The sequence below is a fragment of the Homo sapiens genome, chromosome 20 (assembly GCF_000001405.40).
Source record: "Homo sapiens chromosome 20, GRCh38.p14 Primary Assembly".
Classification (NCBI taxonomy): Eukaryota; Metazoa; Chordata; class Mammalia; order Primates; family Hominidae; genus Homo; species Homo sapiens.
This window is the reverse complement of record NC_000020.11, coordinates 13,329,781-13,355,698: the sequence shown is the minus strand read 5'-3', so window position 1 is coordinate 13,355,698 and position 25,918 is coordinate 13,329,781. Positions and strand designations below refer to the sequence as shown.

Below are 25,918 nucleotides of genomic sequence, written 5' to 3'. Positions count from 1 at the left end.
GGCACCTTTGCCATCACATTACACATAATTTGCAGCCAGGGCTTGACATACCAGTGTTGGAGAAAGCACGCTGAGGCTTGTGCAATTCCTCAGTCATGTGTAGTGGGTAGGGATGTAGGAAACTTTCCAGCCATGGAAAATAAACATCTCACCTTCAAAGAGTGCAGTCCTAAAACACCATGGAACAAAGATTTAGTATTGCGAGCTGAGCCAAGAATTTCCCAAAGGAGAGGGTGGAGCTTGGGCACGGTTTTCCCTCTCTTCCCTTGTGTAATATTGTCCTATCATCTGGAGGTAGTGTTGCAGAAAGGAGCCTTTAGAAAGATGGTTTTGCTGCAATTTATGAGTCCTCTCAGCAACTAAATCTTTGCTCTCTGATCTATATCCCAGGAACCATAATTTCTCTCTCTAATTTTAGAAGTTTTTTTAAAATAACATATGTGGATATAACTCAAACATTAAATAAATGCCCCATAGTAGCAAGGGCCTTACCCCTTCCTATGCTCAAGTCTTACTGCTCAAAATTATTTGCTTATATTCTTTCTGGATTTATCCATTTTAGACCCTGTGTGCTAACTTCCTGCTGTGTTAAGACCATAATACCGCCATATGCCTGCTCCCCTTTTCCTTTCCCTCTATTTTCCTAACATTATAACATCACAATCTTGAGCTAAATTGTCACTCTTCATATTATTATGATTGATAAACATGGTTTATTTTAGAACCAAGTAGGGAACTGTGATTCTCTTTCTCATACAATGTTTTATTTGGTTGTTGTTTTTCAGCTGCAGTTTTTGAGTCTCACCTTAATTTTATCCATTAGATCTGCCAGTGCCCACTGACAGCTTTTCCAAAACTCAAACATATAATTTCTTTGTTCCGTTTTTTTTTTCTCTAAAGACCTTCCTGCCGGATCCCTCCATCACCCTGTTTTGATGCGGTCTTTAGGGCTGCTGTGCAGTTGACATCCTGAAATATTTCTTCACCATCACCTTATGATCTCCATTTCTGGATTTCCACATCCTTCACTTTTCTTGGCGCACTTTTTCCTTTTGTAGGATTATGTTCTTTAATGGTTTCCTAAGAAAGATCACATGAGAGGCAATTATTTTTTAGTTTAGGAATGTGTCTGGAAATGTCTTTTTTCTTCCCCTCACAATTATTTGTAATTTGTCTGTTTGTAGATTTCTGGTTAAAACTCAATTGTTTCATTGTCTTCTAGCACAGGTTGCTGTGACTAGCGCAATGGAAATCTCATTTCCAATCCTTTGTAAGTGACATTTCTCTTTCTGTGGGGTAGTGTTTAGGATCTTCTCTTTACTTCAATGAGTCTCAGAGTGGGGGTCACTTGGTGGACTGTTTTGACCTCAAGACATGTTCTTCAACATGGAATTTTTCTTTAGTTATTTATTTGATAATTTCCTTCTCTTTCTTTTCTCTACATCTCTGGAATAACTATTATTTGGATCTTGAATCTTTTAGATTATTTCTCCAAGACTCTCATCTTATCACTCTTTTAAAAAATTGCTGTTTATTTGTTCTGCTTTCTGGGAGCTTTCATCTACTTTATTTTCCAAGCTTTCTATTGATTTCAAAAAAATGAGCTATCCTTTTAAAAATTGATGAGTTTTTTTCTTATTACCTTATTCATTATTTTGACAGTACTTTGTTCTTGTCTCATAGATGCATCACCTTCTCATTTAAATCTAAGGATGTTAAGTTTTGTGAGACTTTTTGAAGTTTTCTTCTGAACCCCACATGATTTCTGTGTCTTTCGTATTACTTTTTTTCCTCTTTCTTTATTTTAGTTTCTGTCTTTTATGTGGGAGGCATTCCTCAAATGTCTGGTGGTCTTTGGATCTCTGTTACTATTTATAATAAAGTACTTAAAATAGGATTGAAAGCTTTATATGTAAGGGAGCTTCCCAGTAGAATCAGGCAGTGGGCCAGATGCTCTGTGGGAGGACTTTCAAATGTCAGAGCCTGGGCAGTTGATTTACCCAACAAACAGTCTTCCAATCCCCTGAACAGGACTTGTGCCTTATTGCTGCAGCAGTAGGGGGCAAATCACCCACTTCCTGGAGGTGTAGATACTCCAGCTAACTATGGAAGTTGTTACCAAGCTGATGAATGTGTCCCACATTGGCATGTGAGTTTATGTTAGGGCATGAATGGCGAAATAGCTTTCCTTATACATACATTTATTTACTTAATGTGTGTTAGCAAAAATATAACTAGCATGTGAAACCCATGATGTCACAGATAGTATTGCTTAAGACAAACTTAAGTAAATGAAGGTGAGCCAAATTAAAAATATGAAGGTGAGTAATAGTATAGGAAGGATGGAGACAAGGCACAAGATCAGGAAGATACTCAAATGACTGGGAGATACTCAAATGTTTGGGAACACTACAACAGAGACAGGGAAGGCATTTTTTTTTTTTTTTTTTTGAGACAAAATCTTGCTCTGTCACCTAATATGTAACTTAGGCTGGAGCATAGTAGTGCCATCATAGCTCACTGCAGCCTTGAGCTCATGGGCTCAAGAGATCCTCCTGCCTCAGCCTCCTGAGTAGTTGGGACTACAGGTGCCCAGTAAGCCTGGCTACTATTTTAATTTCTTTTGTATATACAGCATCTTGCTATGTTGCTCAGGTTGGTCTTCAACTCCTGGTCTCAAGCAATCCTCCCATCTTGGCCTCCCAAAGCACTGGGATTACAGATGTGAACCACCTTGCCCGCTCCAGGGAAGGCACCTTTTATCACACTAAAAGAGAGTAGAAAAGGAACTCCATGTGGAATTGACAGCTAAAGCAAACAACAGAGGTGCATGATGGAGAAATTACAAATTCCTCTGTAGATATAGAGAGTGGTGAGATGTGATCAGGACTGGATTGTAAAGAATCTTGTATTTTCTTGTGTATTATCTTAAAACACTGGTTCAATGGTTCTGCAATGTCTGAGAGACAGCATCATTACTTGTTATGGTTGACCCAAGCTAGTCAACATGCCACGGTTTGCTTTTGAATTACTTATGACAATTAAAAAAGGCCACAGACTGGCTTCTAAAGCCACCCAACAGGCTAGTGGTGTGTCTTCTGACTGCTCCAGCACACAGGCCCATCACTTCATTGAATGTAATATGCTGAAGGAATATAAATTTACTTGAGCCCAAATTTCAGAAAACTTTAACCTGCAAGCAACATCTGCTATAAAATCTAAAAGTTAATGCATTTTTTTTTTTTTTTTTTGAGACAGTCTTGCTCTGTCACCCAGGCTGGAGTTCAGTGGTGCATTCTTGGCTTACTGCTACCTCTGCCTCTGGGGTTCAAGCGATTCTTATGCCGCAGCCTCCCAAGTATCTGGGATTACAGGCGTGCTCCACCACGCCTGGCTACTTTTTGTATTTTTTGTAAAGATGGGGTTTCGCCATGTTGTCCAGGCTGGTGTTGAACTCCTGACTTCAAGTGATCCACCCACCTTGGCCTCCCAAAGTGCTGAGATTACAGGCTTGAGCCACTGTGCCCGGCCTAAAAGTTAGTGCATTCTTAATGAGCATACATGTAATGAATTTTTGATTTCTCATTATTCTAGATATTCCTGTTTTCTGCATCAGCACAAGTTGGATAAGCTCTGGAACACAATATAGAAATTTCAGTCTTCTGTGGGTGCGCTGCCCAATACAGTAGCTAGTAGCTATATGTGGCTACTTACAGTTAAATTCAGTAAAATTAAATGAAATGAAAAATTCAGTTCTTCTGTCATGCTTGCCAGATTTCAAGTGCTTACTAGTTATATGAGACTAGTGGCTACAGAATTGGATACAAAATATGGAACATTTCCATCATCAAATGTTCTATTAAAAATAGCACTGTTCTATGGTGACACAAAGCTTACTTTTAAATTTGAAAAAATTTCAATTTATATAGAGCAAAATTGACATTTTCATGTGTATACAGTATGCTACAAGTATAGATATAAGTAACCACCACCACCACAATTATAGTACAGACAGTTCCAACAGCCCCCCAAATTCCACAATGCTACTCCTTTAGAGGCAAATTCTCTCCTCACCCCAAGCAACCACTAATCTATTCTCAGTTCCTATAGTTTTACCTTTTCAAGAACGTTGTATAAATGGAATCATATAATATGTAACTATTTGAGAATGGCTTCTTTTATGCAGCGAATGCCTTTAAGATCTGTCTGATTTGTTTCTTGGACCATCTTTATTGCTGAATAGTATCCCAAATTCACTCACTGAAGGATGTGTTGGTTTTTCCCAATTTTGGAAATTTATTAATACAGATGCTAAAACATTCGTGACCAGGTATCTGTGTGAGGAGAGGCTTTCATTTCTCCAGGATAAATATCCAGGGATGGGGTTTTTGGGTCATATGGTAAGTATATGTTTAATTAATTAAGAAAGTTCCAAGTAGTTTTCCAGACTGGTTATACTATTTTGCATCCCCACTGGCAATGCATGTGAGTTCCAGTAGCTCTGCATGTTTGTCAAAACTTGGTGTTGTCAATTTTTTTAAGCCATTCTAATGTGTGTCTAGTGGTATCTTATTGTGGACTTAGTTTCCTATTCCTTAATAGGTAATGATGTTTAGCTTCTTTTCATATGTTTATTTGCCATCCTTATATCTTCTTTGGAGAAGTGCCTGTTCAACTCTTTTAAAATTTAGGTTTTAAAAATTTAAAAATTAGGTTTTGTTTTTTTTTTTTTCACTTTTGGAAGCCAAGGTGCAAGGATTACTTGAGCCCAGGAGCTCAAGATCAGCCTGGGTAACATAGTGAGACCTCATCTCTACAAAAAATAAAATAAATTAGCTGGATGTGGTGGTATGCACCTGTAGTCCTATAGTCTCAGCTACTTGGGAGGCTAAGGCAGGAGAATCTCATGTGCCTAGCAGTTCAAGGCTGTAGTGAGCTATGATCACACCACTGCACTCATTCTGGGTAACAAACAGAGTGAGACTCTGTCTCTAAAAATGTATATATATATAAAAATAAAAATCTAAAGGTTAGTCTTTTTGTTTATGTACTATTGAATTTTTGAGAATTCTTTATATATTATGATGATAAGTTGTCAGATATGTGATTTGCAAATATTTATCTCAGTCTGTAGCTTGCCTTTCATTCTTTTTTCATAGAGCGTAAGTTTTAAATTGTGATGGTTCTCATTATTATTGCTTTAAAGTAAGCCTTAAAATTGTATAATGTGATTTCTTCAAGTTTATTTTTTTCAACATTTTTCGCCTCTTTTAAGTTTCTTTGCTTTTCCACGTAAATTTTAGAGTCAGAGTCAGTGTTACTATGTGTACAAAAGATTGTTAACTGGGATGGCAATTGAAATTTAGTTAAATCCTTAAATCATCTTGTGGGAAAATTAACACCTTAATATTGTTGAGTCTTCCAGTCCATGGATGCAGTATGTCTCTCCGTTTATTTAGATCTTCTTTCTTTCATTAGTTTTTGGAGTTTTTATTATACAGATTCTGCATATATTTTAAAATGTATACATAATTACATCTTGTTTTTGTTTTTGTTTTGTTTTTTTGAGACAGGACTTTGCTCTGTCACCCAGGCTGAAGTGCAGAGGCACCATTACGGCTCACTGCAGCCTCAGCCTCCTGGGCTCTGCCTCCTGAGTAGCTGGAACTATAGGTGCATGCCACCATACCTGGCTAATGTTTAAATTTCTTATAGAGACAGGGTCTCCCTATGTTGCCCAGTCAGGTCTCAAACTCCTGGGCTCAAGAGATCTTCCTGCCTTTGCCTCTGAAAGTACTAGGATTACAGGTGTGAGCTACCATGTCCAGACTATGTAATTTTTAAACCGTATTATTTTTTAAAATTTTGATTTCCAGTAGTTGATTGCTAATGTATAGACATATGATTGATTTTTAAATGCTGATCTTGTATCCCGTGACCTTGATAAACTCATGTATTAATTCTGGTGCTTTTTTGTAGATTTCTTGCAAATTTCTACATAGACTATCATGTTATATGTGAATGGATAGAGACTTCTTTCTAATATCAGGATTTTGGTAACAATCTACTGAGAGATCAGATAAAATTTCAGATCACGTAAAACAAAACTGGATATGCTGGTCCTCTTCTTTTTTTCTTTGTTTCTTTCGGAATTAAAATCCTTTTACATTATCTGCACACTTTCCCTCCCACGACCCCAATATTAAGGATTTTTGTATAAATATTCTCCCAGTGAAATGGACTTATGGGAAGAGTGGTTTTGGTGACTCAGTCCTTGTGAAACATTATTCTAAAATCAAAATAAACTTTTCTAGCTATTCTGAAGTGTTTATATGAACTTCATACCCAGGATCTCCCTTGAAGAAATTATTTTATATAGTCACTTGGGGATAAATGTTACACCTTTAGCACTAGCAATGATAAAATGAAACTGGAACCAGATATCTCTGTGGTCCGGAGGCCTCCTGAGGGTCTTCCAATGCTGGAATGGAGAGCATCAGTCCCAGCTGTGAGACAGCCCAGAGAGCCAAGGAAGAAGGGAGCTGACATTTCTGTCCCCTCAAAAGGCCCCAGGAACCAAACCACAGCTAGTATCTTCCAGACATCGAGGTTCCATCATTTGTTTATAGGAAAATCATCCTCCCACCACTGGCTGATCCCTCAAGGATTTTTCAAACAGCTTAACCCACACAAATGACAGGCTGAAGTTAACCGTACTGCTCTAATTGAGGACTGTCAAAAATACCAGCATGTTGGGGGTGGCAGGACATGGGCGTTTTGCACGTCAGAGTTGCTGGCTCTTCTATGATACGCTTGATTGGCTGTGGATCCAGAACTGTACTAAGGAATAAGAATAAAGGGAGGGAAATATTCCTCTAGGGCTGCCTTAGCTTACGTATGAATCTGGCAACATAACAGGAAGCAGCATAGATGCCCAGAGCCAAAAATAAAGCCCCAGTTCCATGTCTGGAAGTCCTGAAGACAAGACAAAGGGAGTCTTTTAATTAGGACTGGCCAGCCATAATAAACCTATGGAGCCAGAACTAGATGCTCCCTGGCATGCCCCACACCACCCATACAGTGGTGTCAGCAGCTAAAAATTCATACCATTTGAGTGAACAGAAAAAAAGTCAGCCAACGTGAAATCCACTAGGCTAGGTCTCTAGGCACGGGTTGCCTTGCTAAGTTTCTTTTTTAATAATGCATGTCTATGAGTAGACTCTATCAAATCCAATCTCTCTTCCTCTTAGTCACTATTTTCATTCCACGGGGGGTTCCAAAGAGTGCCAAGGGCTGTTGGTAAGAACCAGGTTTATTATTTTCTTTATCAACAGTCACCAACATTTGGCCACATCTGAACTTCTGACATGCTATGGCCACTTTGTCTTAAAAGTAAAAGTAGCTTTTATTGTTTTCCTTTTTAGTAAAGCAACACACAAATATTGTAGAAAAATTACAAATATAGAAAATAGAAGACAAGCTGCTGTTAACACTTTGGCATAGATCTTTAAAACTAGGGTTTCCCAACATTGTCATTACCTCAACATTTTGGGTTGGATGATGCATTGTAGGGTATTTTGTAGTCTTTCTGGTCTTTTCCCACTAGATGCTGGTAACAACACCCTCCTCAATCCCTAATCCTGTTGGTACAACAAAAAATGCCTCTAGATATTGCCAAATGTCTCCTGGGGGCGCAAATATCTCTTAAAACCACTGCCTTATGCCATTCTGAATTCAGGTGACTGAATTGTTGACTGAATTCTACCACTCATTTCTTTTCCCCTCCAGGAGTCTAACTGGCACTTATGAGGAATTGAGGCAAATGGAATAAAAATTATCCATTTTTTTTTTTTTTTTGAGACAAAGTCTCGCTATGTCGCCCAGGCTGGAGTGCAATGGCGAGATCTTGGCTTACTAAAACCTCTGCCCCCCGGATTCAAGCGATTTTCCTGCCTCAGCCTCTCGAGTAGCTGGGATTACAGGCAAGTGCCACAAAACACCCAGCTAATTTTTTGTATTTTTAGTAGAGACGGGGTTTCACCCTGTTGGCCAGGCTGGTCTCGAACTCCTGACCTCAAGTGATCCACCTGCCTCGGCCTCCCGAAGTGCTGGGATTACAGGTGTGAGCCACCGTGCCTGGCCAATAAACTTTGCTAATTGCTCAAATTGAGGCAACTGGGGCTCAGGGAGAGCATGAGTGTTTTCACTTACCCAAGACAATCTGAGACTCTAGAACCAGAAAGAAGAGACGTGGTTGGGCAGGAAAAGGACCTATGGCCTTCAGGGAGTGGGTTGGAGAGCCCAGGAAAGGAGGAGTTCCTGTTTTAGGTTTTCAGGCACAATGACTCCCATCTACTTGTGTGTTAATGTGACCAATAGGCCATTCTGTCTAAAGTGGAGGGTCTGCTCCCCAGTGGGCACTTCCTCCTTAGTACTTGAAAAAGCCAGAGAGTTGGAGGAAGCTCCTGTTTTGTGAGTAGAGGCAGGAATGTGGGAAGCAAAGAAGGACTCCCCTCACAGAGTTCTTTTCTGTGACTGTATAAACACATATAGGCATTTTAAACAAAAACAGCATCGTACTGTACACAGTGTTTTGCAGTCATTTCAGGATCATGCTATGCATACTGTTTCATAACACCTTTTCAGTTACCATATCAACACTTTTCACATTAAATTATTTAGGACATAATTTTAAATGACTACATATTGCTTGTCGGTACATAATGTATTTAGCTAATTCATGTTTCACTCTTATGAACACAGTCAAACTTCTAAGTGGTTAAGATTGCACAGGCAGCCCTGATTATTGCCTAAAGGCAAATTAATAAAAGTGGAATCATTGGTTCAAATGGTGTATTGAAATGCCCTCCTGGAAAGGGGCCCCAAATTATATGTATCTTGAGGAACTAAGGTAACTGTGTCATAAACCACTAAACAATGACTTAACAGATGCAACACATATTTTTCTGGCTTCTCTGAAGCCCTGATGACTGCTGAGGTCTGGGGCCGCCAGTTTCAAAGCCTCCAGCACTAATGTTGAGTTTTGCTGTCCTCGACAACCTTGAAGTTGTCAGGAGGACTCTCCCCTTCCATCGCTGGATGCGCTGAACTCCTGACACACCCTATAGGGCAGTGCTGCTAGCATAGTGCTGTGGGCGGAATCTCTGCCATCTTCTGGATTTGGCTTCGCTAATGGGTTAGATGCAGGCTCATTGGCTGTGGGCTCAACTGGGGAAGATTATGGTGCAGAAAAACATCTTCCTGCTTTGTGAAGCTGATTCCCAAGGTTCCCAGTTTCAAGTCATGGGGATTAGTCATCACTTGAGTGCTTTTGCCATCTTTACCAAAAATCCAGGTGTTGACATTTTTATTTTTTGTTATCTCCAGCCTCAGGACCCCAGGAGGAGGAGATACTTGGATTTATCTACACAATCCATTCTGCCCAAGAAAAGCAGAAAAGTAGTGGCCTTTAACCAGGGTGGATTTTGAACACTGGTACCAGTTAAATACTCTCTAGAAATCAAAAGCTCAGTTGTTCCAGGAGACTTTGTATCTTTTTTCCTTCACCTCTCTCTTTCCCAACTTAAACATGACCCCAAAAAGCACTGTGTAAGTCATGAAGCAGAAGACAGTCAGATTGCCAAGGTTAATATTTGTGTTTGGAAGCATGGCCCCTGTCAAATGGGCAGTAGCCCTCCAGCTGCCTCCAAGGTTTCTCTTAGCTAGTATGTCGGCCAAGTAGTCCTGTTCTTCATTCTTTTTTTTTTTTTTTTTTTTTTTTTAACCTACTGAGAGGAAGCTAAGTGTTATCACCAAAGAGACCAACTGTATGTGAGGAGGCTGGGACAGCAGTGGGGTCAGTCCACTGGGTCCTGCTCACCATCCTCAGCTGCCCCCCTGTAACCTCAAGCTGAGTTAGGAAAACCCAGTAGGTTTGGGGAATCAGTGGAACTGATGGGGTTGGCTCAGCGAACAAGCATCTGGTGTTCCACTCACTCTGATTCCAGTGCCAGGGGCCATTCTCCAGAGACACTGATGGCTCTGTTCTACAGGGTACCAGCCTTGCATCACTCAGCTGGGAAAAGGTGTGTGCTAGACCTCCCTCCCTCCCCCAGTGTAGATATGCCAGGGAACAGGGCTGGAGCCATGGCATTGGATACACCCAAAGGTGTTCAACTCAGGGAGACAACTCAATTTCCCCCCAGTCCCCCATGGAGGTTAAGGATGCTTAGATTGGCTCCAGGAGGGATGGAGGCACTACAGTATTTGCCCTTCTCCATTGCCTTGCGAGCTGGTTCCAGGGGCTTGGCGTTTGGGTGTGGTCCTGCCAGCCAGCCATTGGTGAACTCCAGCACCCAAAGGCCTTACAGGTCAGAAAATGCAACTGACTTGGAGAAAAAAGCCAACAAATTCCCCACGTTCTGATGACTGCTATTTTTAAAAATCAATATGCATACAAATCAGGACTAAACAGAAGTAAAAATAATTGGGTCAGGGTAGATGGACTGAGAATGATGATTTTTAACTCTTTTCTTCATTACCTACAATGTGGTTACACTGTCCTTCCAATTTTTTTTGAACGAAAATAAACACCAGTTTTAAGAGGCAGAATCAGGCAGGTTGATGTTTCTAGGCATCCAGCCTAGTGAATGTGTGTAAATGTGCATGAGGAGGCTGGGGAGGTGGGGGAGGGAGCAGTTTAACTGGACATGCTTGCCTGTGTGAGGCTGGATTTCCTTACTGGGATCTGAGCTCAGCAGAATCCGGGGAGCCTGAGGGCCTTCGATGTGCTTCAAGCCAGAGAAACCTTGGAGACCACTGGGACCAATTTCTGGGCCTGCTGTGGCCATGAATCATGCCAGCCGCTGAGTGTGCTCAGTGTGGAGTGAACACATAGCCCACACAGATGGAGAGGCGCGAGCACTGTGGGCAAGGGGAAAGGCACGTTGGGAATACAAGGCCCTCGGGGAACATGAGGAAGGCAAAGGATGCCGGGGAACTTGGCTTCAGGGAACTTCTGCCTCACGCTTCATATTGACCCCATGGGCTAATCTCACATTTTCTTCCCAGGAGATAGGATGTTATCAAATGAGGCTAGGAGATCTTTGAGAGAATAAAGACAGCATTCCAGAAAACCTCTCCTGGGTACAGATATCTGTACAGGCAGATCTTTCTGTTAACTCCTGAGAATCTCTGATTTTAGCTCTCTTTCCCATGAAGAGTCTCTCTCCCTACCTGTTCCCTACCAACTTTCCATCCCATTATGTAGACACCCTCCCTCCCCTTTGCCTCCATTTACTTAAATTAATTGCATGCTTTTACCAGGATCTGAAAAGTCTAATTCCAAATGTTGTGTTGAAGGAAAACTTGGGCTTGGGAATCCAATCCAGGCAGGAGGGTGTGTGTGTGCGTGTGTGTGTGCGCAAATATAGATATTCTGTAATCTTGAGGTCGTCCCTAAGACTGTCCCCTAGAGCTTGCAGGTCAAGATCAAGGGTACTTCCTGGCCGTCTAGAGGTCATGCTTCTCCCCATATCAGGATGAGAGTCCTATTGGTGTCACACAATCAAAAAGTCAATTAAATACTAGAAAAGAGAATGCTCTCTAAAAAAATGAAGGAACGATGGAATCGGTCTGGGTGGAGCAATTGAGAAAAGGGAGAAGGTAGGACATCCACAAGCAGAGGGACTACCAGTGAGAGCATTCCTCAGTGGGGAGTGACAGGAAGTGCGCAGAAGCCCGGTGGGCTGGGAGGACCCACAGAGGGGCTTGCTGGCCCTAGTGATGACCTTGGAAACTGGGCTGGCTGCCCAGTCAGGTTTGGGAATCCTCCCAAGTCCTGGATTCTGCAGGAATAGATTCCACTTGTTGGGATCCCTAATGTCTTTCTTTCTATAGTCAGGATGCAACCGTCTGCTGGGAGACCCGCAGCCAATGCTTGGCGAATGGGAATTGCAGGTGAAAGAAAGGGGTGTGATGCTGTGAGGAGGTGGACGCCCAATTCCCTGAGTCCCGAGGGGGAGCTCCACATCACAGGACACGGGTGGGCCATCTTCACATCTGAAGCACTTTGCTACTGAGGAAAGCAGGAACCACAGTGGGGGCGGGGGCGGGGGCGGCGGGGCGGGGGTGGGGCGGCCCCATCCAGCCGCCTGGAAGCGGTGGAACCGCAGCCTGCAGGGAGAAACGCATAGAAAGGAAGTGGGTGAGTTTTATTCCTTGTCCCTCTGTCTGGGTATGGTGTGAGGCGTCTCCCTGGCTTTTGGATTTGAAAACTTTCACATGGGTGAGAACTGAACTCAGCATTGTCTCTAGAGCCAAAAACCAAGTACCTGGAGAATGAGGCCCAGTAGGGCCATTTTCCAAGAGCCAAGCTGTGCCTCCCTCAGGGGCTGCTGAGCCTCTGCTCTTCCTGAGTGCTGGGTAGGCCTGGCTGAGGTTTCTGGCCTCTAGACTTACCTGATCCTGGCCTCTTGCCGGACCTCATTTAATACCTTCTGTGGGCAGAGAGAATTGTAGGAGGAATTTCTCATTTTGCCCACTCACCCAGGAATGTCACTGAGTGGGGCTCTGCCTGAGGTCAGAGAGGCCGTTGAAGGGACATTTTCCCCTACTTGCCAGGACCCTTCTCGGAGCCTTCCGCCTCTGAGCCATGTTGTGGTATTTCCTCAGGAGAAGGCTCCATTCCCAGAGGCTCAGTCAGCAAAGTACATGAGAGCAAGTTTTTTGCTCTTTTTGGGACATTCCTTCCTATATCTCTGCCAGTCACGATCTCTTGTTTCTCCTTGTCCTGGCCCACAGTGGGTTTTTGGAAGGGGTGAGAAGTGACCGGAGCTGGATAAGGACCCATCCTCTACACACCCCCATCTGGAGGCACCCTGTCGGGTGTGTGTGACCCCTCCTTAACCCAGTCCAGAAGGGAGGGTGTGATTTCATTGAATGAGGCACTCCAAGGCCCTTTGCAAACTTTTATGGCTCTTGTGAAATCTCCAAATGTGCTAGCAGAGAAAACTCAAGCCCAGCGTCATCTGAGGGCTGGGAGTTCCGCTCATTCCTCAGGCGGGGATTGTCTCTGATTAGCTGGTGAGGTGAACGTGCCCTGTCATCCCTGGCCTGGCTGGGCAACCTGGCAGGTCATGCCTGTGCCTTGTGCAACTTTGGCTGTCTGGTAGCTCCAGGCACCTAAGACTGAAGACCAAGGTGGCCTCCTGTGTCCCGAGGCTGTCACAGTCTCTGCTGCCGCTGTCCCCACCAGATTTCAGAGCCTCTGACTACATTGCATTTCTTGCATTACAAGAAAGCAATGCTCTCTTGTAGCTCATCTTAATACACATGGCAGACAGAACTGAGTCGTTCTCCTCCATGAAAGAAACATCCTGGAAATAGCTAAAAGTCAAAACAAACACAAAAACAAACAACCCACCCAGGCCTGCGATATGCGCCCTGCTGGAAAAACAAACTCTGTCTGGCTTTTTGGGCGGAGAAGACTTGGGAAGGCCAGCCCACATGTGTGGCTCCAGAAAACTGGCTGAGTAGCCTAATCGACTGCTAAAATGGCCACGGAGTCTTCCTAGGCTTGCACATGACTTTACAGCTCCTCTCATCAAGGGGTGGAGTCTAGTTCCTCGCCTGCTATACCTGGGCTGGCCTGGGACTTGCTTTGACTAATCAAATGTGGCAGAAATGAACATGTGTCAGTTCTGAACTTAGGCTTCAAGGGGTGTTGCACACTTTTTCTCACTCTCTTGTGACCACAAAGTGAACCACCAGCCCAGGCTAGCCTGCGGGAGGAGGAGAACACCTGCTAGTCATCCTGCAGCACTGATAGCCATCCAACTACCAGATGTGTGATTGTGGCCATCCTAGAACAGCCAGCCAACAGCTGTTCCTCCGTTTCATCACAGATGCATGAGAGAGCCTGGCCAAGCCAGCTCAGATGAGAAGAACCAACCAACTCATCTGCAGAATTTTGAAAAATGATAGAAGTTTGTTGTTTCAAGTTGCTAAGGTTTGGGATGGTTTAACTCCATAGGGTTACTCTGAGGATCATGCAAGATAAGGCCACATTACAAGTCCACAAGAAATGTTTGTTGAATCCTATTACAGAGTTACAGAATTGGAAGAGACCACAGAGAACATAAAAAATATGCCCCACTTTTTCAAGCTCACGTTTTCTCATTTAGTCCCCAAAACTTCCTTGAAATATTGTGACTACGTTACCCTCATGTTACGGAAAAGAGGGCTGAATCCCAAGAAGTTAACTTGCCAACGGTCATGCCTAGTAAGTGGTGAAGCTAGATGTGAATTCAGCTCTGTGTGATTCTAAAGGCCATGTTCTTAACTATTAGGATAAAAGCATCGGTTCATATATTTAAAAACCACATTTGTGGCATACTCTCCCAAATGGGTAAAAGAAATTGGAAAAGGAAAGACAAAAGTATCCTTTTTCTGGAGGACTGGGAAAAGTTAGCATGCTTATTCTCTGCTACCACGATGACATTTGATGACATGATTATTCAAGTGCTACCTCTGGAAGAACTCTATGCTCAGTCTTGGTGACCTGCTTGAGAAATGAATTTTGCTCTCAATGTGGTTGATAGCTAGGCTGACTTTAGAACTGACAGCTCCTGTTTACTCATTCCCCAAGCTGTAGGTCTGCAGATTTGCTAGAACTCACTGAAGAAGACTCAGCACATAATATTACTGAAAGAGGAAAGTATTTGTAGTCACAATACTTGAATTTAAGCCCCAGCTACTTCCTGGGCAACTTAATCTCTCTGTGCTACATTTTTCTTACTTCCAAAATGAGAATTCAATTAATGAGATAATGAAAGCTAAGGTGCCATGAGAATATAATGTATTATTATCATTATAAGAGTAAAATCATTACTGAAGTTGATTTCAGTGGTAAATTTGTAATGTTTCAGCTTAAGCAAAAAGACATGTATTTGATCTTCTGCAAAAGCAAAAGACTTCGCAATAATTTATTGTATATTTCAAAATCACTAAGAGAGTGGAATTGGAAGGCTTATAACCCCTAAAACATGATAAATATTTAAGGTGATGGTTAACCTAATTACCCTGATTTGATAATTACACATTGTATGCTTGTGTCAAAATATCAGCTACTCCTCACAGATATGCACATCTATTATATATCCATAAAAATAAAAAAATAACCAAAAGGTAAATCTAAGCAAAAAAAAAAAGCAAACACACTTGAATAATGTATACTGGTATGATGGAGTTTTTGTTAGATAGTTGGGAGTATCAGTTAGAATGCTGCATATAACAGAAAACCCAATCAGTAGTCGTTGAAATAAGTAGGCAGTGATTGTCTTACTTGATAAAACATCTGGAGGTAGGAGGTTGCTGGCATTGGTTCGGTGTTGCAATGATGCCTGCAGGCCCACTCTGTCATCCTTAATATATTGGCTGTCTTCCTCATGCTAGGCTGGCTAACTGTCTCATGGTCTCAAGACAGCAGCTGAAGCTTATATCAAGGAAGGAAGATGGGAGAATCTGGAATCTCCCCAGATGTTTTTTTGTGTTTGTTCCTGTTTTTCCCTGTTGAGGTCTCATTAGCTAGAAATGTGTCATATGCCCACCTAAGCTGCAAGGAGGCTGGATAGTATTGGCCTTTTTCAGACTCTGTAGTAGAGACAGCCAGGTGAAAAAATTGGAGTATTTATGGGTTGTTTGTTCTTGTTCTCCTTTGTGCTTGCTTGTGCTTCCTGACATGCTTGTGTAACAGACATACTTTGTGTTTCTATAATAAGAGAAAAAAGGACTCCAGACTGCTATTAATATTTTTAAAGGAATCAAGCAAAAGACTTCAACCTAACTGTTTTCATATTGAGCGTGAGCTGGGACTACTTGGTTACATACATAATCCCTGGCTTTTGTGTCCCTCCTCTCATCATCTAAACCAAGCAGAAGATGAATGTTCAACACTTATGAAAGGTTGACATACTGTCACTTGTTTCATTTGGGGGAAGAAAGGCCATGTCTACTTGAGTTATTCTGTATCATATCCTATGCAGATCACTTTTTGTATTATTGGTGTCTACAAAAAAAAATCACATGTAAGGCAAGAACAAAGCCCCCAGACATGTAGAAAATTCGTTCAAAATCAGTAATGGCTAAATGTCAAACTTTGGTAAGGATGAGATATGAAGGAAAAGTTTATAATCAAAATTCTGTTCTCTGAGTCTGGGGAAAATATCACCAGCTTTAATTGACAAAGTGGCTGCTAAACAAATAAAGAAGGTGAAAAATGATGGTCCCAGGAGATGTTGCTATCTGCAACATGTTACAGATTAGCTGGCGTTGTCCTCACCATTTCAGGCAGAGGGTAAAAATGTGGCTTGATTTAGAGCTGATGATATCATGTGTCTAGTCACTGGAGATCAAAAGAAAGCTTGCCTGTGAAACATTGTTCATGAAATGGGAGCAAAGTCCAGACTCTTCTCTTGGGTGTGTCAAAGGGAAGTTTTGCTGTGTACCAGGCCAATGGGATTCAAGTCACAGCATATGCTCCAGGATGTATTTGTGGCCATGTGACCTCGTGTTCAACTCTGCCAGTCCTAAACTCAGCAGATTTACCAATTGTGTGTGATCAATCCCTTTAATACCTGATGATTTGGTGGGCAAATCGCTCTTTTCCTTTCCTATGATGTATGATTAGAGACTGCAGGTATTTTGTTTTGTGCTTAGAAAGTGGCTATTGCATGTATATGTGTGCATGCATGGGTGTGTGTATTTGTGTGTGCATGTGTGTTTGTGTGTAGGTGTATTGGTGATGGTGGTGATGGTGAGGAGTGTGGAGAAGCAATTCAATTGCTTACTCTGTAAGACCAGATTTGGAACAGCCCATCTGTGATGACTGCTTACCTTTTTCCTGAGATTAGAAATCAATACTTGGAGGGTGGACTGCATCTTTCTTGGATATCTTCAAGGAATGCTGAAGGCACTGTAAATTCAAGCAAGTCCAAGACGTGAATGTCACATTCTTTGCAATGAGGAATTGGTGTGAAGGATGTCAAAACATCTTTAGCATGAAACCCTACTGAAAGAAAATCCTTGCAACCTACTGTATTTTGGAGCTCAGAAGAATTTCATCATGGTAGGACTTATTATACTGTATGTCAGAGGCGTTTGAACCAGAGCAAGTCCATCTTGAACAGGGGCTGGTAAAATAAGACTGAGACCTACTGGGCTGCATTCCCAGGAGGTCAGGCATTCTAAGTCACAGGATGGGCTAGGAGGTTGGCAAAAGGTACAGGTCATAAAGACTTTGCTGAGAAAATGATGTGGTGAAGAAGCTGGCCAAAACTCACCAAAACCAAGATGGCGATGAAAGTGACATCTGGTCTTCCTCACTGCTCATTATATGCTAATTACACTCCCACCAGCACCATGACAGTTTACAAATGCCATGGCAGGTCAGAAAATTACCCTATGTGGTCTAAAAAGGGGAGAAACCCTCAGTTCCAGGAATTGCCTGTCTCTTTCTCAGAAAACTCACAAATAATCCACCCTTGTTTCATGTATAATCAAGAAATAACTCTAAAAATAGCCAACCAGCAACCCTAAGGGCTGCTCTGCCTACAGAGTAGCCATTCTTTTATTCCTTTACTTTCTTAATAAACTTGCTCTCACTTTATGTACTTGCCTCGAATTCTTCTTTGCACAAGATCCAAGAACCCTCTCTTGGGGTCTCGATCAGGACCCTTTTCTGGTAACGTAAGGACAAATGCTTTCTTAAATGCAGTAGAAGCCATCATCAGCCTTGCTCAACCCCCTTTTGTAAGTTCCATGTGTACTAAATTTCCACCAAATTCCTATTTATAACACGACAGAGGTGCTGAAGAGCTGTCAGAGCCACACTCAAAGCTTAACTGAAGCACTCACATTTCCTTTCCTTCTGGCCTCTGGTTACCGAAAACATTTGCTGAAAATTGCTGTCCCACTCAAGAACTGTCAAAGGTAATTGTGTTGCACAAAAGTTACCAAGAAGCATGAAATAATATGGTTACCACCTGGTGACCAAGTTAATAGAACCTGTCTGATGAACCGCCAAGCCTGCCACATGTGAATTCCCCAGTTTCTGTCTGAAAGCCACGACAGCATAAATTGGTGAGGAAGGTGTGGATCAGGGGCCTCTTAGTGGCAATTTACCATACAAATCCCCATGTAAAGGGCAGTTGTCAGGTCACCATATCCAGTGAGGTCTGAGATTTGGGGGTGGCAGTGAGGGGGAAGGTGTCAGGGAAGAATAAAATGCTTTGGGAATGAGGAGCTGTGTGAAGCAAGTAGCAGTGCTTACTTCAAAGGGCAAGGTCTAGACTTGGCTCTTCTCATAGCTGGCAATGACCTCGGCGTCTAAAAAACTGAAAATCAGAGACTCACAAGATGGGAGGGGCTTAGAGAGTCTGTCTGGGTCTCCCCACCTTGTTGCCTCTGGTCAAAACTGTGTCCTTCCAGGTGAGCCAGAATATTCCTCTTAAAATTCCCCAGAGAAGGAAATCCTCCTCGTTCCTGGAAGCCATTTTCAGGGTCTCAAACCCCACTTGAGATGGTTTTGCTTTAACTTGAGGTTACAAAACCCCAGAATCCCTCTGAATTCTGGTGCCTCTATTCATACATCAAAAACATCGAACCTGGAAATCTTCTCATGGATTCCCTTGGAAACATCTAGTCCTATCTGAAACTGTTTTATTTCATCAGAAATCATTGCTGGCTGGATGCCTGATGCCAGCATTCAAATCCAGTAGACAGAGTGTGGCTCAGAAGAGACTCATTGAAACTGGGAATCCCCCAACTGGGAGGCCCAGGGTTCACACTGGAACCATTCTGGTGTAGTTATACATCAACCAATGTTAGGAGTACCTGCTCTTTTTATCTTTAGTGATACTCATAGTTGAGATTTTTGAGATACAAAAAAAAAATCTCACTTTTTAGGCAGAAAACATTGACATCAGGGCTGGGTACATAATTTGTAGAGCCCAATGCAAAATAAATACTTAAAAGTCTTTTTTACAAAGAACAGGAAAAAAGCTTTTTCCTTTCTAGGATGGTCTCTCTCAAACTTTCATGATGTGTCTAATTTCCTAGTTAATGTTATACTGCCTCAGGCTCTGGCATACTTGAGGGGTGAGTGTAGACCTTCATAGGCATCAGAGTCCTGACTTGCAGCTAAGTGTGTAGGATGTGCTGGCCCAACCTCAATTCTTCCACTGCGGGCACAGGGCAGCAGTGATCTCTGGGTGGCGTTAGGGGAGGAGGTAGCCAAGAACCCATCCCTGGGAGATAAGAGGAGGCAGGGGGCAGGACGGGGCATGAGCCAAGACTGCTCAGGGCATGCACTACTGTGCTATTGGTCTTTACTTACAAAACAAATTCAAAGATAAAAGTATTAAGAATTTCAAAATGGCAGCCACACCATTAAAGCCAAGTGTGAGGCCCCCTTCTGAATGCGGGGCCCTATGTGATGTCAGTGGTAGCACACCCAGGAAGCAGCCCTGGTTGAAACTCATTCTCCTTTGGGCCCCCTGGAAACTTACTGTTATTGAGAAGCCTTTTGGATTTGTATTCTTTTCTATGTAATGTGTTTTTTTCCTTCCTGGAAGCGTTTAAGATCTTCTTTTTAACTGTGTTCTGAGATTTCTCAGTGATGCACCTTGGTGTAAATTTTTCATCTTTTATTGTCTTAGACTCTCAGAGAACTCTTTCAGTTTGGAAATTTATTCTTTTAGTTCCGGGAAAATTTTCTTGCATGAGTTCTTTGACAATTTTCTCTCCTCTCTCTGTTTGTCTCCCTGTTCTGTCTGCCTCCAACTTCTCTTGGAGGTGGTTGGATTGATCCTCTAATTTGTTTTCCTTAGTTTCTTTTTGCTTTTGCTGTTTGCCTCTTCTCTCTGGACATTTTTTCAACCTTGTCAACTTTCTATTACATTTAAAAGTATTTCAGTAATTATATTTTTTTATTTTCAAGAGCTCTTTTTTTTTCCTCTGTGTTCATTACTCACAACAGCATGATACAATATCTTTTCTTATCTGAGAACATGAATACTATTTTTAACATTTTTTATTAATTCCTACATTTACTCTTTTTTTCTTTTTGATTTCATTCATTCATGCTGGAGACTCTGCAGATCGCTGGTGGTATGTTTATATTCAAGAGTAAGACACTATGATTGGGTACTCTAAAATCACGGATGGGGCTTTTCTCCAAACTTCATCATAGGGTTATCAGGAAGTAAATGTCATTATCTATAGGCCTTTTCTTTGTACTATTTGGAGAGAAATCTAAATCTCCTGCCAGGGTGTGTGTTTGTGTGTGTGTGTGTGTGTGTGTGTGTGTGTGTGTGTGCATAGGTGAGGGGAGAGTTCTGGAAGGAGCATAGGGAAGGGAATGGGGGGTGTCCATAGTAGACTTTTACTTCACCTTTGCTTTATCTATGCTCTTCTCTGGTCATGCTCCCCAAATACATTTACTCCAAAGAATAAACCTTCAACTTTCTTCCAGGAAGCTGGTAAAGAGTTGTGTGGATGCACACAATGAGAGAGGAGACTTAATGGGCTCAGCTGTGCTGTGGTAGACTTTCAACAAATGTCTTTTTCCACAGTGGGCCTTGCTCTCATCTTCCTCTTGAAATACTCACTGCTTATAAGCACTGAGCAATTTAGAGCTCCTGCAGAGTGAAGCTGCTCTGTTCTTGCTTGTCTGAAAGCATTTGGTTTTCCCTTTGCTTTATTCTGCCAAGGTAATTACCATTCTTCCATCCATTTCTCACCTTCCAAAAATGTGTTGAAAACATTTATGACAAATGGTCTCTCATTCTTTTTGACCTTGTCTATGAATTTGTTTCTTAAAATTATTTGACTGTCATTTTAATGAGATTTGGGTAGGAAGAAGAAATAGTCACAGTCAATTCTACTTTTAACCAGAAGTTTCCTTTAGAAATTTTAATCTTTTTTGGATACTAGACCCATGTGCTTTAGTCTTAGGCAAATCCTTGTTTTTCACTAAGTGAAATAGTAAGCAGTCTAGAAAAATAGTAAATTTCAGTCTATTTCTCATAGCCTATGTGTACTTATTTAAATATAATACTAATAATCTTGGTTATTTAGTATCCAAGCTTTTAGTAGACTAGAAGCAGAATTTTAGTAGAAAGTTAGATGTAGATGCTACTAGAGTCATATACCTTGATAGCGTTAAGAAGAGATAGTTGGCAGACCAAAAGAGAAAGGTGACAGAATAACCAGTTAAAAGAACACATTAAATAGTACAACAGTTTCTATACTACGACAGTTTCAAACAGTCCTACACATTTCAAAATGCATTATTGCATTAAAGTGTAATTCAGGTGCCATCTTCCCTTACCAAGCCTTCTACAGCTCCCTGTGGTTTGTAGATATTAGTTCCACTCTCTCTCACTGTTCTATATATTGCCAAATATATGACCTGTGGTTCTAGTGAAACACCCTGCTCTATTTCACACCCATGGATTTCTGCCTCAAACCTGTGACTTCCATAGCTTGGCACACCCTTTCTTACCATCACAGGTTATCCTTCAAGACCCACTCAAATTCCCATGATGTACTCTCCCTCCCCCATCCTTACGTGTTCCCATGGTACTTGTTTAGGTTTATATAATGGAACTTGCTGTGTTCTGCCAGGAATTTTGAAATTATGCATCTGCCTTTCCTCTCCAGTTGGGATCATAAACACTGAATAGCATTGCCATTTCTCTTGGCATAATGCCTCCCTGTGAGTGCTCCCTGAGTAAATACGTGTTGAATCCAGTTGGAAGTATCATAATTGATGTTTAACCTGACAATCTTTAGTCTTCAACGAAAGGCTAAATTGGATACTGTTGAGGAGGAAAGTAAGTGTGTGATGCATTTTAAAAGATTCAAAAATAAAAAAGTAATAAAAACGAAGCAAGAAATACTTTTTATGTTGTGTAAAGGGCATGTTACATTTAACTCATTATAATATGTACTTTTTTGTTGATAGAACAACGAGGCATTATTTTTCACATGAACAACAACCCCATTGTGGCACCAAGCTGTTTAAGTTTGAACATCGTAGCTTAGGTATGAAACATCAACTATATCATTTTAAAAGAAGGCAGTGTAAAGAGTTTGTGGCAGGTGGAAAAAACGTGAATATTTTTATTTAAATATGCTTTGGAGAGAGCAGCTCTGTGTTCCTTGACATAACTGACCTTTCCCTAAAATATTTGGGCTCAAATCTCATCTTGCTCTTGACTGATGTTGCAATTTCTAAGGTGCCTTTATCTTTGTTCTGGATTGATCTTTAATCAGGTATGACTTCTGACACATTTGCTTTAAATTTCTCTCTCCTCCCCTGTCAAGTAGTTAATGATCTCAAAATGTCACACTTGATTCCACAGATTTCCCAGGGAGTCAAGTGTGGGTAGAATAACAAAACAAATGAAAAGTGCAGAATCACTTTATTGTTACTTTCTCCACGTACATGCCAGGCTGGCTGCATGGGCATGTGATCCATGGGCAGTGGCACAGGGACCATGCTCAGAAGGGCCCCACACTTGGTGGGATGTTCTGCTGTTAATAATTTTAAGTTGTATTGTGTAAGTGAAGTCTGATGGAGCCACGGAGCATGCACATAAGCAGAAGAGTTCTGTACAAAATGTGAATTTGTGTGTCTGCTCTCCTTTGCTGCACATTTGCGTATAGTGTTATGATGGCCCATGAGCACGGAATTCTGGCGATGCACAGGAGTTCAGGAAGACTCGAAGCATGTTATACCCACAACATACAAATCAAGCAACAGCCCTGACAGCCCCAAAGGCCAAACTTTCCGTTCACACCAGAATTTGCTTTGAATGCAGAAAGAAGAAAATGGCATTGAATGAATCATGAATGAACAAAAAACCTTATCATAGCCTATGTTAGCCAACCACATATGCTGAAAATGACATAGAGTGGAAAAGGTAGGATAATCTATATTTTCTTTTCTTTTCAGTCCTTCCTTATTCATCACTAATCCCCAGTTAGGGAATGTTGGTAGAAGTTGAGTATATGAATAAGTAAAACAAAAACAGTCAAGTTAGTTTTGTGCAGCATTTTCATTGGTCTGGTAAGAATTAAATACATACACATGTATGAGCTATAGATCCAAATTTTTTAATTTTGGTGATTCTTCACACACATTAAAAGCTCTTTATTTGCATTTAAAACTGGCATTGCACAATATAAAGATGAATGATAAAATTCATGCTAAGAACTTAAAATTATAATTTAAGTTTACTTAGAGCAACATTAAATAGCAAATAAACAACATGATGACAAGTCAAGAGGGAGACTGTGGAAGAGAGAAAACAGCTTTATATTTCAGTACCTTTCATGGCATTTACCCCCTGCTTTTTGACAGGGGCCCCACATTTTCATTTTGCACTGGGCCCCACAACATACATAGTTGGCCCAACACACATGTATGGATCTTAATAGACAAAATTCATGTTAACACAATTTTGAAGTAAGTAATCTCTATTTCCAAAACCACAAAGAACATTGTCAGAAATTGTCCATGGGAGGAAAATCTTTTTGTGGTCTACAGGGACACAGTAAATGCATGCCATGGCCCAAGGAAAGAAGTCATACTGGAAATTACTTGAGGATCAGACCACTTACGGTCATTTCTTCAATGAGACCGAACATTAAAACGTGCTCCAGCATCATTATATTAAATGGGTCAATTAATCCATTTGCATCCTGACCCAAACAAATCCCAACTGAAAACCAGAGACCTGTCATTTATTCAAAAATAGGTATTGGTCACAGAATATTGCATGGTGAGCAAGATGGTCACAGTCCTTGTCTTTGTGAAATTTGCTGACCAGTGTCACGGAAAATAAAGAAGGGAGTAAAGTTAAAAAAATACTTAAAAAAGCACTGTGGAATTTCCTGTTAGAGGAATTTGTATTAGTCACCAGGACTCTTTCAGTGCAAGTGACAGAAAAAAAAAAAAAAAGCCACAAAAAAACCCCCAAAACACACACAGTAACACCTCTAACTAGCTTCAGCAAAAATGAAGTACAAGTTTATATAGCACAAATCACAGGAATTATGTATGGAACAGAGGTGATTCTCCTTCTCCAAGGCAAAGCTGAGACTTTTCTTTATCAGAAATGGGGAACTGGGTGGTGCTTCAGTATAGAATTGTTTAATAAATATTTTGATGATGTAAAGAATCACCTCTATTCTATTGGAAATGCACTTAAAATTTTTGATGTAATAACTTTTCTTAAAGCAGGAAACTCCTGAATTTTCTCATTAATTTGAGCTATGTCTTGAATCTGGAGGACACCGTCTATAGTTTGTTGGGAATGTCTGTCTGAGACTTACGTAAAATGTCTTAGAACACTAAAATATGTTTAATAACCTCCCTAAAAGGCAGGAAAGTGGAATCAGAGGATTGAGAAAACAGAGGGAACAAACATAAATAAAAATACAACATATCAAAATTGTGGGATGCAGATAAAGCAGTGTTTAGAAGGAAATTTAGAGCATTAAATGCTTATACTAGAAAATAAGAAAGGGCTCAACTCAATCTAAGCTCCAACCTTAAAACAAGAAAAAAAGAGCAAAACAAACTGAAAGCAGACAGAAGAAAATCATGCAGATATAGTAAAAACTTGGTAAAGTTGAAAACAAACAAACAAAAACAATACAACAAATCCATTAAACCAAAAGCTGGTTCTTTGAGAAGATCAGTAAAATTTATGAACTCTAGCAAGACTGATAAAGAAAAAAGGGAGAGAAGACAAACATTACTAATGTCAGGAATAAAAGATACAGACTCTGCAAACATTAGACAGATAAAAAAGAAATACTATGAACACCTCAGTGCATATAAATTCTACAATCCAGATGAAATAAAGCAATTTCTCAAAAGCCACAAACTATCTAAACTCACCCAAGATAAAATAGATACCTGAATAGTTCTATAAATATTAAATACATTGAATCCATAGTTTAAAATCTTCCACAAAAGGAAATCTCAAGCTCAGGTAGTTTCACTGACATATTCTACTAAACATTTAAAGAAGACATAATAACAGTTCTACATGATCTCCTCTAGGAGATAAAGGAAGAGCCAAAGCTTTCCAATTTTTTATGGGGCCAGTATTTTCCTGATACCAAAATTAACGCCACTACAAGAAATTAAAACTACAGACTAATATCTCTCATAAATATAGATGCAAAAGTCCACATCATAATATTAGAAAATTAAATATAGCAATGTAGAAAATCAACTGAGGCTTAGCTAGGAAATGTAAGACTAATTCAGTATTCAAAAATCAATCAATGTAATTCCACATGTTAACAATTGAGAGAAGAAAACCACATGACTATATCAATAGATACAGAAAAATAATTTGACAAACACAGCCAGGCGTGGTGGCTCATGCCTGTAATCCCAGCACTTTAAGAGGCTGAGGCGGGTAGATCACTTGAGGTCAGGAGTTCAGACAGCCTGGCCAACATGATGAAACTCCATCTCCATTAAAAATACAAAAATTAGCCATGTGTGGTGGCAGGCACCTGTAATCCCAGCTACTCGGGAGGCTGAGGCAGGAGAATTGCTTGAATTTAGGAGGCAGAGGTTGCAGTGAGTTGAGATTGTGTCACTGCACTCTGGTCTGGGTGACAGAGCAAGACTATGACTTGATTAAAAAAAAAAAAGGAATTTGACAAACATAACATCCATTCATGATAGAAGCTCTCAACGAACAAGATGAACATTCTCAAGTTGAGAATGATATTTACGAAAATCTCCGCAGCTAAAATTATACTTAATGGTGAAAAATGGATGTCCACTCTTATCCCTCTTATTCTCCATTATACTGGAAGTCCTAACTGT

The 25,918-nt window shown here is 41.0% G+C and overlaps 1 protein-coding gene and 1 long non-coding RNA gene across 4 annotated transcripts in view; one reads left to right on the top strand and one right to left on the bottom strand.

Moving 5' to 3' along the window:
* The window catches only part of TASP1 (taspase 1), a 534,161-nt gene that overhangs the window by 283,234 nt on the left and 225,009 nt on the right, over window positions 1–25,918 (top strand). The gene's annotated exons all lie outside the window — the stretch shown is intronic.
* LOC124904872 (uncharacterized) lies at window positions 93–17,958 on the bottom strand. Its single transcript, XR_007067535.1, has 3 exons — window positions 16,894–17,958; window positions 806–1,080; window positions 93–169 (listed from the first exon to the last, which is right to left on the bottom strand). It is a non-coding gene; the product is annotated as an uncharacterized LOC124904872 (long non-coding RNA).